The sequence below is a fragment of the Homo sapiens genome, chromosome 1 (assembly GCF_000001405.40).
Source record: "Homo sapiens chromosome 1, GRCh38.p14 Primary Assembly".
Classification (NCBI taxonomy): Eukaryota; Metazoa; Chordata; class Mammalia; order Primates; family Hominidae; genus Homo; species Homo sapiens.
Genome location: NC_000001.11, coordinates 86,034,742 through 86,047,715, shown reverse-complemented (window position 1 = coordinate 86,047,715; position 12,974 = coordinate 86,034,742). Strand labels below are relative to the sequence as shown.

General features: G+C 33.7%; 1 protein-coding gene across 20 annotated transcripts in view; it reads left to right on the top strand.

Annotated features, from left to right (window-relative positions):
- COL24A1 (collagen type XXIV alpha 1 chain) overlaps positions 1-12,974 on the top strand; it is a 427,752-nt gene that overhangs the window by 109,269 nt on the left and 305,509 nt on the right. For all 20 annotated transcript variants that reach the window (NR_146340.2, NR_146341.2, NR_146342.2 and 17 more), the window contains one exon: positions 847-891. Coding sequence is in view for 13 of the 20 variants with exons in the window: in XM_047417004.1 (XP_047272960.1) it covers positions 847-891 (45 nt within the window). In the remaining 7 variants the exon portion in view is untranslated. The remainder of the gene's footprint in view (positions 1-846; positions 892-12,974) is intronic.

Sequence of the window (12,974 nt, the reverse complement as noted above, 5' to 3'; positions counted from 1 at the left end):
CATATATATAAAAAATTTTAATAAATGGTTTTACATACATGAATTAACTTCTTTATTTATATATGTATATATACATGAAGATTTTAATAAACATATATATGTGTGTATATATACATGAATTAACTTCTTTATAAATAAAACCATTTATTGAATGATAGGTATTGTTATTCTTCTCATCATAGATGAAGAAAATGAGGCACACACAGAGGAAGTATTTTGTCTTAGACTATATACAGGAAGTAAGAGCAGACCCAGGATTTGGACAAGGTTTTGTCTGGCTCCAAAGCCTGGGTACTTAAGTACTGTACCCTACTGCTTCTTACATGACCAGAAATCCATAGGTTAGGTGGGCTGTAGATTCATCTCTCTGCTTTACCTTTTCTAATGTTGTCTTTACCCTAAGGCTTATTTCCTATATGATTGCAAGATTGCCAGTGCACAGGTTAAATGTGTCCTTGTTTATATCCAGATAGAGAGGGGAAGGCAGAGAGGAGGGCGTTGTCCCTTAGATGTGGAAAATAAGACCTTCGTGTTCATCTAGTTGTGCCAACTTTGGTAATATGCCTGTCTCTGGACAAATAGCTATCACCAGGGAAATGTCAAGATCCCATTTGGAAGTATAGATGGGATAGATTCCTGAATAAAAGCAGAATTTTGTTTTGAAGAAGGAAAGGGGCTGCCTCAGTTAAATTAATATATTGAGGCTTTTCTGAATATCACATCAGTTTATAGAACAATTTGTTTTTGTCTTTTTCATACTTTATTGCTTTATATTGGGAGAAAAAGATCTATAGTACCTAATTCATTCATTCAACAAATATTTCCTTTTTCTTTTCTATATTCTAGGGCATTCCTGGGATCCGTGGAAAGAAGGGTTTTAAGGGGAGACAGGTATCTTAATTTGTGTTTTTTGAGGTTTATTTTACAGCAATATAACCTGGTTATGTGTTCTTACTTATTAAAATGTGAAGATACTTTTTGCTTTTTGTTGTTGTTTATAATCATTCCATTTTAATTTTTGCCTCTTGAATAGTGTATCAAATAATACCTGAGGATATAAAGGAAAATTTAGATTAAAAAATAACTGAACTTTGAACACTTCTAACCCTTTCACTATACCAGTGGGAAAACCCTTATCTCTACGGCAAGGAGCTAAAATGTCACAGAAAATACGTGAAGAACTTAAAACACAAATGGTAGTACTCTTAACCTACTCTACATGACCAGATGTTGTAGAGGTTCAATCTCATGTTCTGGAGGTTTTTAAAATGCGTGCTTCAGCTGTTAATTCAGAGATTAGTTTGCAACAGCTTCTCATATTTTCAGGTTAAAAAAAATCCAGGAAAGTGAATTTTACTAGGTAATATAATAATTTCAGAGATGGGAGGAAATTGTGACATCATCCAGTACCCCATTGCTTAACAAATGAGAAAAATGTGGTCCAGAGAGGCATCCTGAGGTTCTTCTTGTTAAGCTAGTATAGTCTGTGAAGATAAAAAGTGAGATTTTCATTACAACTTTTCTAAAATTTTGTGTACCTGAATAAAATCTTAATGATAATACTAAAGGACTGCAGCTCTCACCAGAATACTCAAATCATTTTGTAACATTTATCCTTCAAGCTTTGCAATATTCTTTGAAGGGAAAATAGAGTAAGTGTTAATGTCACCATAATATAGGTGAGTAAAATAAAGCTTAGAGATGTTAAAAGACTTGCTCAGATCAGATAGTTAAAAGTGGTAAAATCAGTAATTGAGCAAAGCTCCACTGAATCTAAATCCAGAATCCTTTTCCTTACTGCCTAGATATTTCTGCTCTGTCTTCTACTCACAGTGCTTAGAAGAGGCATGAATTGTTTCTTCATGACGTCTGGCCAAAATGAGATACAGTTATTTTAAAGTTTAAAGATTTTAGTGTATTAAGATAAACTTACCAAACTGTCAAGAAATACAAAATAAGCCAAACATTTTGTTTCCCTGCATTTACATTGAACGTAGAAGCTAATCTTATAATGGTTATAACAGTAGAAACTGCCATCACCGTTGCTATTATCACCCTTTTTAAGTTCTCAACACTGTGATAAGTATTTTGTATGCCATCTCATTTAACTATACTCTGTTACACTTGAATACATTGGTGTGTTAATTTTTTTTTTTATGTTTTAGCTCTCATACACATATCCCAACAGAAAATACCTTTCTATTTATTGGGTATCCAATTTCTAATCTAAAATTCTAAAAATTAACAATAGGTGGTTTGTTTTCTTTAGTCTTATTTACTCCATTCTGTATCTTCAAATTTTCACCCTTCTCCTATCAATGTATGCTATTAATAAAAGGACCAATAAAATCATCTGCCATAATACACGAATTACTTCCAATGCTTAAAATGCTACCTTACCCTTTACTAAGTAGGTACAGTCTGAAGGCTGGGCGCGGTGGCTCACACCTGTAATCCCAGCACTTTGGGAGGCCGAGTCGGGCAGATCAGTTGAGGTCAGGTGTTCGAGACCAGCCTGGCCAATATGGCAAAACCCCATCTCTACTACAAATACAAAAATTAGCTGGCTGTGGTGGTGGGTGCCTGTAATCCCAGCTACTCAGGAGGTTGAGGCAGGAGAATCACTTGAACCCGGGAGAATAAGGTTGCAGTGAGCTGAGATCGTGCCACTGCACTCCAGCCTGGGTGACAGAGTAAGACTCCATCTCAAAAAATAAAAACAAAAATAAAAATAAATTAAAAATAAAATAGTCTTAAGAAAAAATAACTAATCTGCATTGGTGGAATTTTAGACATTGATGAGCAAATTGAGTATTTTCTCAAAACCCTTGTTATATATCACTTAGATAACCACCAATTATTTCATTTGATAATATTGCTGATCTCATGTAGACATCAACTTGATTTTGGCTTTGGCAATGTACAGGTAATTTCTATTCCTACTATAATGAATTATAAAATTATTCAGAGACCTTTATAGACAACTTCTGGTTTTGTAATCCATAGGGAATTATGAAATTATCCAACAGGAGTCTATTGAATTTAAAAAAGGAGTTTAAGAAGACAGCTGAAAAATAGTGAATGAAATGATTATGGGGCTCTTGTTTGATTGCACTGTTCTTCTTATTACAAAATTTTCAAAGTTTTATTGCTTTTAAAATATATGCATTTGTAATAGATTTAGATCTTTAGAAAAATTGTATTTGAAAAACACATAATATTCATTTTTTCTGACTAATGTTTATTTTAAAGTCTGTCTAGTACCGTAATATATTATGTATGCTATATGTACTTTTTCTCATTTTTACTGTAAAATCATTTGTCTATATTTATAAGGAAAATGTGAATACTTAGAATAAAATACAGTTATAGCCACATGTCAACTTATGGCAAGGGTGACCTTAGAGACTGTCCCAGAATATGTTATCCTATGTATAAATGGCCCCCTTATTCTTTCTGTTTATTATAAATAAAATCATCTTCAAAAGGTATTATGCACCATAGGATTCTTGTACTTCAATTTAGATGGTTAAAATTCCATGAGAATCATGGTCATTTATTACTGTTTTAATAACAGTAAAAGGAAAAGATCTTTTGATAATCTTTCCATTCTCTTTGATGTCGAAAAAAGTAGGTGTGTAGAAGATGAATATGGTCATGTTCTCCTGGTAATTTATTAAATTATGTGTACTATCAATTGTGAAATACAGAACAGAACTAAAAGATTCCAGGCTACTATGAAGTAGATGGATGACACCTATACATTTGAATGTGATAGAAACCTGGAAATGCTGAAATCTGAACGTGCCAGTATCTGAGAAACTTTTGGTTTTGCATAAGTCAAAAACTGTTTTAATTTTCTGCTGGTTTGAGAGCTATTTAGAAGTTTGAGCCGGGCATGGTGGCTCATGCCTATAATCCCAGTGCTTTGGGGGGCCGAGGCGGGCGGATCATGAGATCAAGAGATCGAGACCATCTTGGCCAACATGGTGAAACCCTGTCTCTACTAAAAATACAAAAATTAGCTGGGCGTGGTGGTGTGTGCCTGTAGTCCCAGCTCCTCAGGAGACTGAGGCAGGAGAATCGCTTGAATCCAAGAGGCGGAGGTTGCAGTGAGCTGAGAGCGTGCCACTGCACTCCAGCCTGGCAACAGAGCGAGACTCCATCTCAAAAAAAAAATGAAAAATAAAAATAAAAAGAAGAAGTTTGGATTGATGTTTCATTGTAGTGCTGCTGTGTAGATGCAATATTATTTCATTTACTATCATTAGTAGAATCGTATTAGAAGATGTACTTTATCACAACTATTACCCTTAATTTTTTAAATTAATATTTCTGTTTTTTTCTAATTTTTTTATTTTTTAATTTTTGTGGGTGATAGAAGGTGTATATAATTATTAGGTACACGATATGTTTTGATTTCTGGGTTTTAAATGAGCTGGTTTCCTTACATTTTAGGTAGAGCGATATAGTCAGTCTTATGAGCATGGAGTATGATTCAGTTTTAAATAGTTACAACATATAATTTATAGAACAATAGTAGATATTTTTAGAGAAATCTATAAAGTTTTATTAACATTTTATACTTAGATTTTTTAAGATTCTGAATTTAAGCCCAGAAATTAGTAAATGACTTGACTTTCTGTTTTATGTATTATATGAAACAGTCTAACAGTCAATACAGTGAAAGCAATAGCCATGAAAAACTTCAAAATCTGAGTTCAGGTCTTTCTACCTATTGATCAGGGTCAGTTTCTTTGGACTACTGAATTGGATTCTCAGCTACACAGTAAAGCTTCATGTTTCATATGAATAGTTTGCAAAAATAGTACTTATATTATATATACATATAGCACAGAAATGGACTAAAAGTCTTGTCTAAAATTGTCCAATGAGTTAGTAACATTACTAATTTTACATTTGGGAAGATGTTACTATAAATCACGTGCTCATACTGCTAACCAAATGATCACTTATTTCCCTGAGTAAACACAAAGCACGGAATTAAGTTGTCATGAATGAGCTTAGTGGTGTCTGTATTTTTCTTTTAATGAACTTATAGACTTACAAATAAGAGCTATCTTCTCTTAGTATAAATATTTTATGAATGCAATTGAAATGGACACATTTTAGAATAGCATATTACTTTGGTTATTCAAGAGGTAATTATTTTTTAAAAAGAGAAAATTATTTATTATTTAGCCTCATAATGGTATGTTCAAATTTAACATTTGTGTTAAAATTTATTTCCACTTAAATCTTATTTCCCAGAAAATTCTTTTTTCCCAAAATGAAATGTTATGTTTATTAGATTTAATTGATATTTGTAACACACTTCTTTCTTCAATAAGGGCCATTAGTTTGAAGTAGGAGAATTGTTTTTGTTAGGAATTTGGTATATTTTAGAACCAAAGATTATTTAAAAATAGTTATATTAACAAATTCACTTGTTCCTTGGTCTTATACTGTTGGCATTCGAAATGTTTTTTTTCTTCCTTGTATTTTAAGCCATTTTTGATTTCAGGATTTTAGCATAAGTACTTACTAACCACAACAATTATTTTTAAAGACTTCCTGTAATCACAGTTAATATTAGTCAATGTATGTGTATACTCATGCTTTTGGATAGCGAGGTGTAGTTCTGACTTCTTCCTCTCCTTCCCTCCTGCACTCCCTACATGTCACAATTGGATCAAAACCCTTATTATTAATTAATATTAGAGGATACCCTGGGGCTCTCTGTGCCTTCAATAAAACTAACTGTTGAAGATAGAGAAGCTCAAGAGGCTATTATTGATTCATCCTTTTGCTCTCTATCTGTGGATATTTGAGTTCAACTCAAGTTCATTCTCTGGAGATTTCAGGAAAAGACAAGACAGTGGACAACCTTTATTGGTCAGGAGCCTTTAAACACCATAGAACTACTACTGTTTTGTTTTACATGCTTTAATGTCTTTATTTGAGAATCTTCTTGGAACATATCTGATGTGAGCCAGATTTTTTAAAAGCCTAAGTACACTGATTCATAACAGAAAAGAAGAATCCTGTTTAAAAAAAATAGGGGAGGCAGGGAGAGGGGATTTGTTATGTATTTGATAACTTTAGATTTCTTATACCTCACTCCAAGTAGCTTCCTTTTTAGTGCAAAGTTTCCAAAGTTTATTTTGTAGTGCTACAATCAGGAAATTCTATAGTTGCTTTTAAAAAAAGCATTTACAGAGCTCTCAGCTTGATTTAATCAGTAGTCTCTGTCTTGTACCAAGTTAGCCATGCAAATTTATATGGCTCCACAGACCTAAAAAATTTATGCTAGAACTGACTTGCCAGGATTGAAAATAAACATGAAATTGGAGATGGGAATTGCTTTCAACAACACCTAGAAAACTGCTATCCGAATGCTGATGTTTTTCAAGGAATTTTTCAGACCCTTAGAATGGATTATAAATAATCAAATCACATTACATTTAAAGTTTGACAAAGAGCAAAACTGTACTTAGTTTTCTTCCTCTGAAGATAAAAATATCACAGCCTAGAATGGTGGGCAAAATAACACCCTTAAGGCACCCAGACTTCAGAGATGTTTACTTTTCTAACTATAGAAAGGAGAGCCTGCTCCTCTTTTCTCATATGTTTTTCTGTTAGAAGAGTGTATTTGAAGTAAACTGTATTTTGGCTTCTAAATCTAGAGTTAGAATTTCAGAATATAAAATCCTGGTGTTGGACATCTGTTATTAGTTTTTATCTTTAGCCCAAGACAGTCTTAAATACATATTGCATAGTAGCATCTCAGATACATACATTTTGTGGAGAATTTAGAGACAGTGTTTTTTATTTTGTTTTGTTTTTGTTTTAGGAAAAGAATGCAGTTAATTCTATCATAAAGTACAACTCTAGCTAGAACATTATGAAAAAGTTGTTATTAATTCTTAAGGGATTCTGCCTCCTTCAGGAAAAATGTATTTTCTGGATTCTACTTTACTGGGCATAGTCTGTAGTAGCTATATTTGGCTAACTGTAGTATGACAGGGTGTATGGAAGATTTCAGGACTTTGAATTAACCCCACCACAGGGTTGGCATAGACACTAAGAAGAAGGACACCCAATGAACTACATGTTATAATTTGGAGGAAGTCCAGGCAGAACATAATTGATTTCATAGAGATGTGACACCAATGGATGGGAATATGGCAATTATCTTCAGGGTGGATAACATAAGGGACAACTCAAAGAGCCTTGTAGGGGTGGGGGGAGGGGGGAGGGATAGCATTGGGAGATATACCTAATGCTAGATGACGAGTTAGTGGGTGCAGCACACCAGCATGGCACATGTATACATATGTAACTAACCTGCACATTGTGCACATGTACCCTAAAACTTAAAGTGTAATAATAATAAATAAAATTAAGAAAAGAAAAAAAAAAGAGCCTTGTAGGTTATCAAAATCAGAAGTGTGAGTGCATATATGGCAGTTAGGCCTAGGTTGGGCTCAGGGATTATATTCTCTAGGAGGGCAAATGGCAAGAATAAGGTGGGACTCTTATTATTGAGGGACAGAACATGATGTTGTATACCACATCTGGTTTTTGGACACAAGAAAAAGGACACAACGTGGTATTCAGTCTTTAAGAACAAGGCCGGAACTTGAATCTGGGAACTGAGGCCCAGGTTAGCATTAAGCCTGCCTTGATGCCAAATCTCCATGAATTGGGCCAAACCCCCATGAATTGGGCCAAACCTACTCATGTTTCTGATGAAGTTTAGAATTAGTCTCAATTATGAGGATAGGGTTGACCCTGAGTGTGGATCAAATTGTCCTTGCTGTGAGGAAAAGAAGGGTGAAAAGATTAGATCATCACAGAATACTTCACACTCCAGCCTCTTCCTGTAGTGATCTTGTTTTATATTTGAGGGATTTTAAAATAACAGAATTTCCTGGTAATATGTATTCATATGCAGAATGTGTAAAAATAACTTCTAGGTTAAATTTTAGTGTTTCTAATTCTAGACAAGTTAGTCTGATCCTGTGTTTTCAATGCTTAGTTTTGGAACAAATGATTTCTGTTATGATTATTAATGCTTGTTTAGTATATAACCTTCTATGATAATTTTTATTCATTTCTACTTCAGATTAAATATGTTGTTTCTAAACCTTCCTCTAGAAAGAACAAAATATGTTCTCCAGAAGGGTTTTTGTATTGCTTTTGTTTTTTAAAAATTCTGTAAATATAGTCATTGTGACCATTTTATGGTTATCTTGGTCCTCTTATTTTCCTAGTTATTTTATATACATTTAAACATATTATTTGTGGAGCTAGGAAAATAATGCTTTTACTGGACATGCTAAGCAAGAAGTTTTCCACTGTTTAAACATATTTAAATAGACTACCAAATGTAGTATCTATGAGTGATCTAAAATATTAATATCACATACATGTATTCAGGCCTATCAAGTCTAACAAACTTCTTTTGGTCTTAGTGTTTAATAACTACCATGTTTGATAACAGTACCATTGTTAGACCCAGGCAACAGAGAAACTTGCTCTGGGCTCTGAGCTTTAGAGGGCCCCTGCATATCATACATTTAAAATACTTGAGTGCCTCTGTCATTCAGGATCCAGCACTTAGCACTGGCATCACATGCCCCATAATCCTAGACAGTCACTCTTGTTACTATGTATTAGCTATCTATTGCTATGAAACAAATTAAGTTGGTGGTTTAAAACAACAATAAATATGTATTATTTTTATAGTTTCTGTGGGTCAGGAATTTGGTAGTGGCATAGTTGGGTGGTTCTAATTCATGAGGTTATGGTTAAGATTTTGGTTAGGGCTACTGTCATCTGAAGGCTTGACTGGGGGTTGGAGGATTTGCTTTTAAGGAGGCTCACTTGCTGGCCAAGTTGGTGCTAGTTGTTGATGGGAGGCCTCACTTCCTCCCCATGGAGACCTCTCCACAGTGCTGCTGAATGTATTCAGAACATAGCTTTGGCTTCCCCCAGAGTGAGTGGTGTAAAGATACTACAGCAAGGTGATAGCTGTAGTATCTTTATGACCTAGCTTCAGAAATTACACATTGTCACTTCTATATTCTTTTGGTCACATAGGCCCACATAATTCAGGGTGCGTCTGGACTACATAACAGCATGAATACCGGGAATCAAAGATCACTGAGGTCCATCATTGAGGCTGGGTACCACAGTTTAATAATGTTTAGGCTTCAGAGAAATTCTCCACATCTCTTGCCTGTATTTTCATGTCTGAATGCCATGAAGGTTTTTAAGTGGTACCATTGCTGACATTGGAGACAGAAACTGCTCAAGATTGTGCTAAGGGTTCGAGCAGGCAGTAGAAGCATTTTGATAAAAGGAAAGAGAAATTAATTATCTAATTTTTCTCTCAGCATGAATGCAATAGAATCTTACGTAATAAAAATACTGTTTTCTGGTAATTTTAAGCTTCTATTATCTTTTCTTTCTATTATGATTTATTCTTCCTGAGGTAATAGAATTAGTGTGATATTTGCAAACAGTTGCAATTGGAGACTGACAAGCATTTTCCATTATTAAACAATGCATATTATTATTAAATTTGTCTTTACATAAGTATAGACAAAATTCATGAAGCATGATAAGATTTTTTTTACATTGGCGACAGGTGGACATAAAATGCTGGAATGATAAAGTTTAAAATACAGATATTTAACAAGATAAAGTCAAATTTTCAAAAAAGTAAATATAAAAATTGTAATACTTTTTGTTATTATAATTTGTAATAGAAAGTAGACAGCAGTAGAAAATCTTCAGAGATGATCTAAGTTTTTTAAAACTAGAAACAACAGTAGACTTATATTGAACATTACCTATGGTAAAATTTGGAAATAAGACATTATATATTCTCTAAAGAAGATTTAATTACCAATTTAATTGGTTTTCTGTTTCTATTGATACATAACAAATACCACAAACTTAGCAGCTTAAAACAATATTCATTTATTATCTTGCAGTTTTCATGGGTCAGGAATCTAGGTGTTACTTAACTGAGTCTTCTGCTCTGGTCATAAGTTTACAATCAAAGTGTCAGACAGGCTGCATTATCATCTGGAAGCTTGACTGGGGTAAAGTTCATTTCCAGACTCATTCAGGTTGTAGGAAGAATTTATTACCTTGAGGTTGTAGAATGGAGGGCTCTGGCTTTTTGCCGGCTCTTGGCTATGGGCCACTCTCAGGTCCTATAGACTGTCCAGAGTTTGCAGAGTCACCCACAGTTTCTGGCCACATGGACTTCTCCAACACAGCTGCTTACTTCATCAAACTCATAAGAGAAGTCTCTAGCTCCAGGCTGCTAAGACAGTCTTATATAGTGTAACATAATCATGGCAGTGATATCTCATCACCTTTGCTATATGCTATTTGTTAGATGAAGCAAGTCATAGGTGCTAGCTACACTCAAAGGGAGGATGTCATAGAAAAGTGTGAACACTGGGAAATGGGAATCTTTGGAGATCCTTTAAACTGTCCACCACACTGATCACTGGAAATAAATGAGAAAATAGAAAATTATTTACAACTTGAAGAGATTTTTTGAAATTCCTGAAACATCATATTCTTCATCACATAAAATATTTTAACTGATCAAAATGTGAAGAAGAGAACTATATACAACACAGAAGCAACAATGTGACTCTGGCATGCTCATTAGAAGATGAAAGTTAACATTTGTGAAACTGGCAAATTGAACAAGAAAAGCAAAACTCTTGAGCTTTCCTATCTCTGTTGCATGATAATCCTGCTAAATGGCCATTTTGTCCTTTGGCAACGTGAGAGTATTTTTAGGAAAACACAATTTGATTTAAATTAATGATAATAATTTTCTACCAGGAAAATATAACAAAATATTTCATTCTTCAACATTCTTTCAACTGGAGAAAGAAATTATAGAGACTGTCTTTTGTATTATAAAATTAAAGGAAAGATATGTATTTTGTCACTACTGTTCCATATTTCACAACCAATCTTGAAGACCATTTTTTGGCAATGAAGCTATGTGGCTGCAAACATTAAGTTCATGATTAAAAGAATATAGAACCTCACCTGTATTAAAATATTAATGCAGTTATTAGCATTGAAAAACAACTGAATAAACATTAAACAAGCAAGGAAATATTCAACAATATAAAACATTGGTATGATGTTCTTTAAAAGAAAATATTATGTGTCTAATAAGGAGCCAAATAATGCCTTTGTGGTATTAACTGTGCAATATTTCATAAAACAAGAAGTGTCTAGATTTCATAGAAATTATTTCAAAAATTGATAATACATGATCAACATATGAGGGATTAAAAGAATAAATTATCTCTATCAAGAATAGAGAATTAAAATGAAATGTTTAATGAGTAATAAAGTGAGAAGAGAAACAATACACAACGGCTTGGTACAGTGGCTTATGCCTGTAATCCCAACACTACGGGAGGCTGAGGCAGGAGGTATCACTTGAAGCTGGGAGTTTGAGAAGAGTCTGGGCAACAAAGTGAGACCCCATCTCGACAACGATAATAATAATAATAAAGAAAAATACATTAAAAATTTAAAGTAGATATTCAATTAAATTATTTCAGGGGCAAAGTCAAGGTGAACAACCAATACACATGTTTGTGAACTACTGGAAGAATAAGAAGTTGAAATTAATGAATATTGCATTATTTTTCTGCTGGTTGTAGAAAGTAAGTATTTTGTGATAAGGGAAGAACTGATCACAGTTCTTTCCCCTCTTCTCTTTCTCATCTTCCCTCTCCTAGGTGGGGAAAAATTACTCATTTTGAGGGAAGGTGAGCCAGAGAACAGTTTCTCCCACTGGATGCAAGGGACTGGGAAGGATTGGGAGAACAGCACATTCTCTAGGCAATCCTGAGTGAATTCCCAAAGGTTTTTCAGCAATCCCACTCCTTGTTCAGGTTGTTTTTTAAGAACAACTTTATTGAGATATAATTCACATACCATAAAATTCACCTTTAAAGTATATAATTTGGCAGTTTTTAGTATATTCAGAATTGTGCAGCCATCACAGTATCTGATTTTATAACATTTTCATCACCCCCAAAAGAAATCCTGTACTCATTAGGAATCACTTTCCATTCCTCCCCCACATCACCAGCCGTAGGCAACCACTAATCTACTTTATGTCCCTGTGGATTTGCCTATTCTGGACATTACACAGTAATGGAATCATGCAGTGTGTCCCCTACACTTTATTATTTCACTGGGGTTTCTGGAAAACCTACTAATGATCTATCTAAAAAAAATCAATCATCTCTTATGTTTCAGACTTACTGTAGTATATTTCCTCTACTTTTTCCATTACCTGTGTGTCATAAGTACTTTCAAGTATCCATGTTAGCTCATACTGAATAGGATAATATATTGCAGATTTGCAAGTTGTTGACAAGAAAATTTGACTTCCAAAGACAACGAAAGTAAAATGCTTGAGCTTCAGCTGACTTTGAAGGGAGTATGGCTACAATATATTTGACTACACAGATGGTTTTTACATTATCCTTTGATTACAGAATAAGAGAAACTGTGCTTCTAGTAGGAGTTAACTATATTTTAGAAACATTGTACATTTTTTCCATTGTTAAACTATCTTTTAAGTTTAACCTATTCATATTTGCTCTGGGAACCAGTAATTTTTGGCAGTCTGTTAAACATAATATTTAATACTGACTTGCCTATGTAAAGAGATTATAAGAATCTAATGATAGATTTTTATTTTTGTTATTCCTAGTTTTTGTAAATGAATATTATGAAAATGTTTACAATAGTAAGTCTTATAAACATTTTTATAAAATAGCCTCTTAAAAAGTGAGCTTTAAAGTTGAGGAATGGTAAATCTTTAGAGAAAAATGTAGTATTGTAAAGTAAGAGTAGCTGAGCGTTGAGTTATTTTACAATAGAATTTATAATGAGAAGGTTTG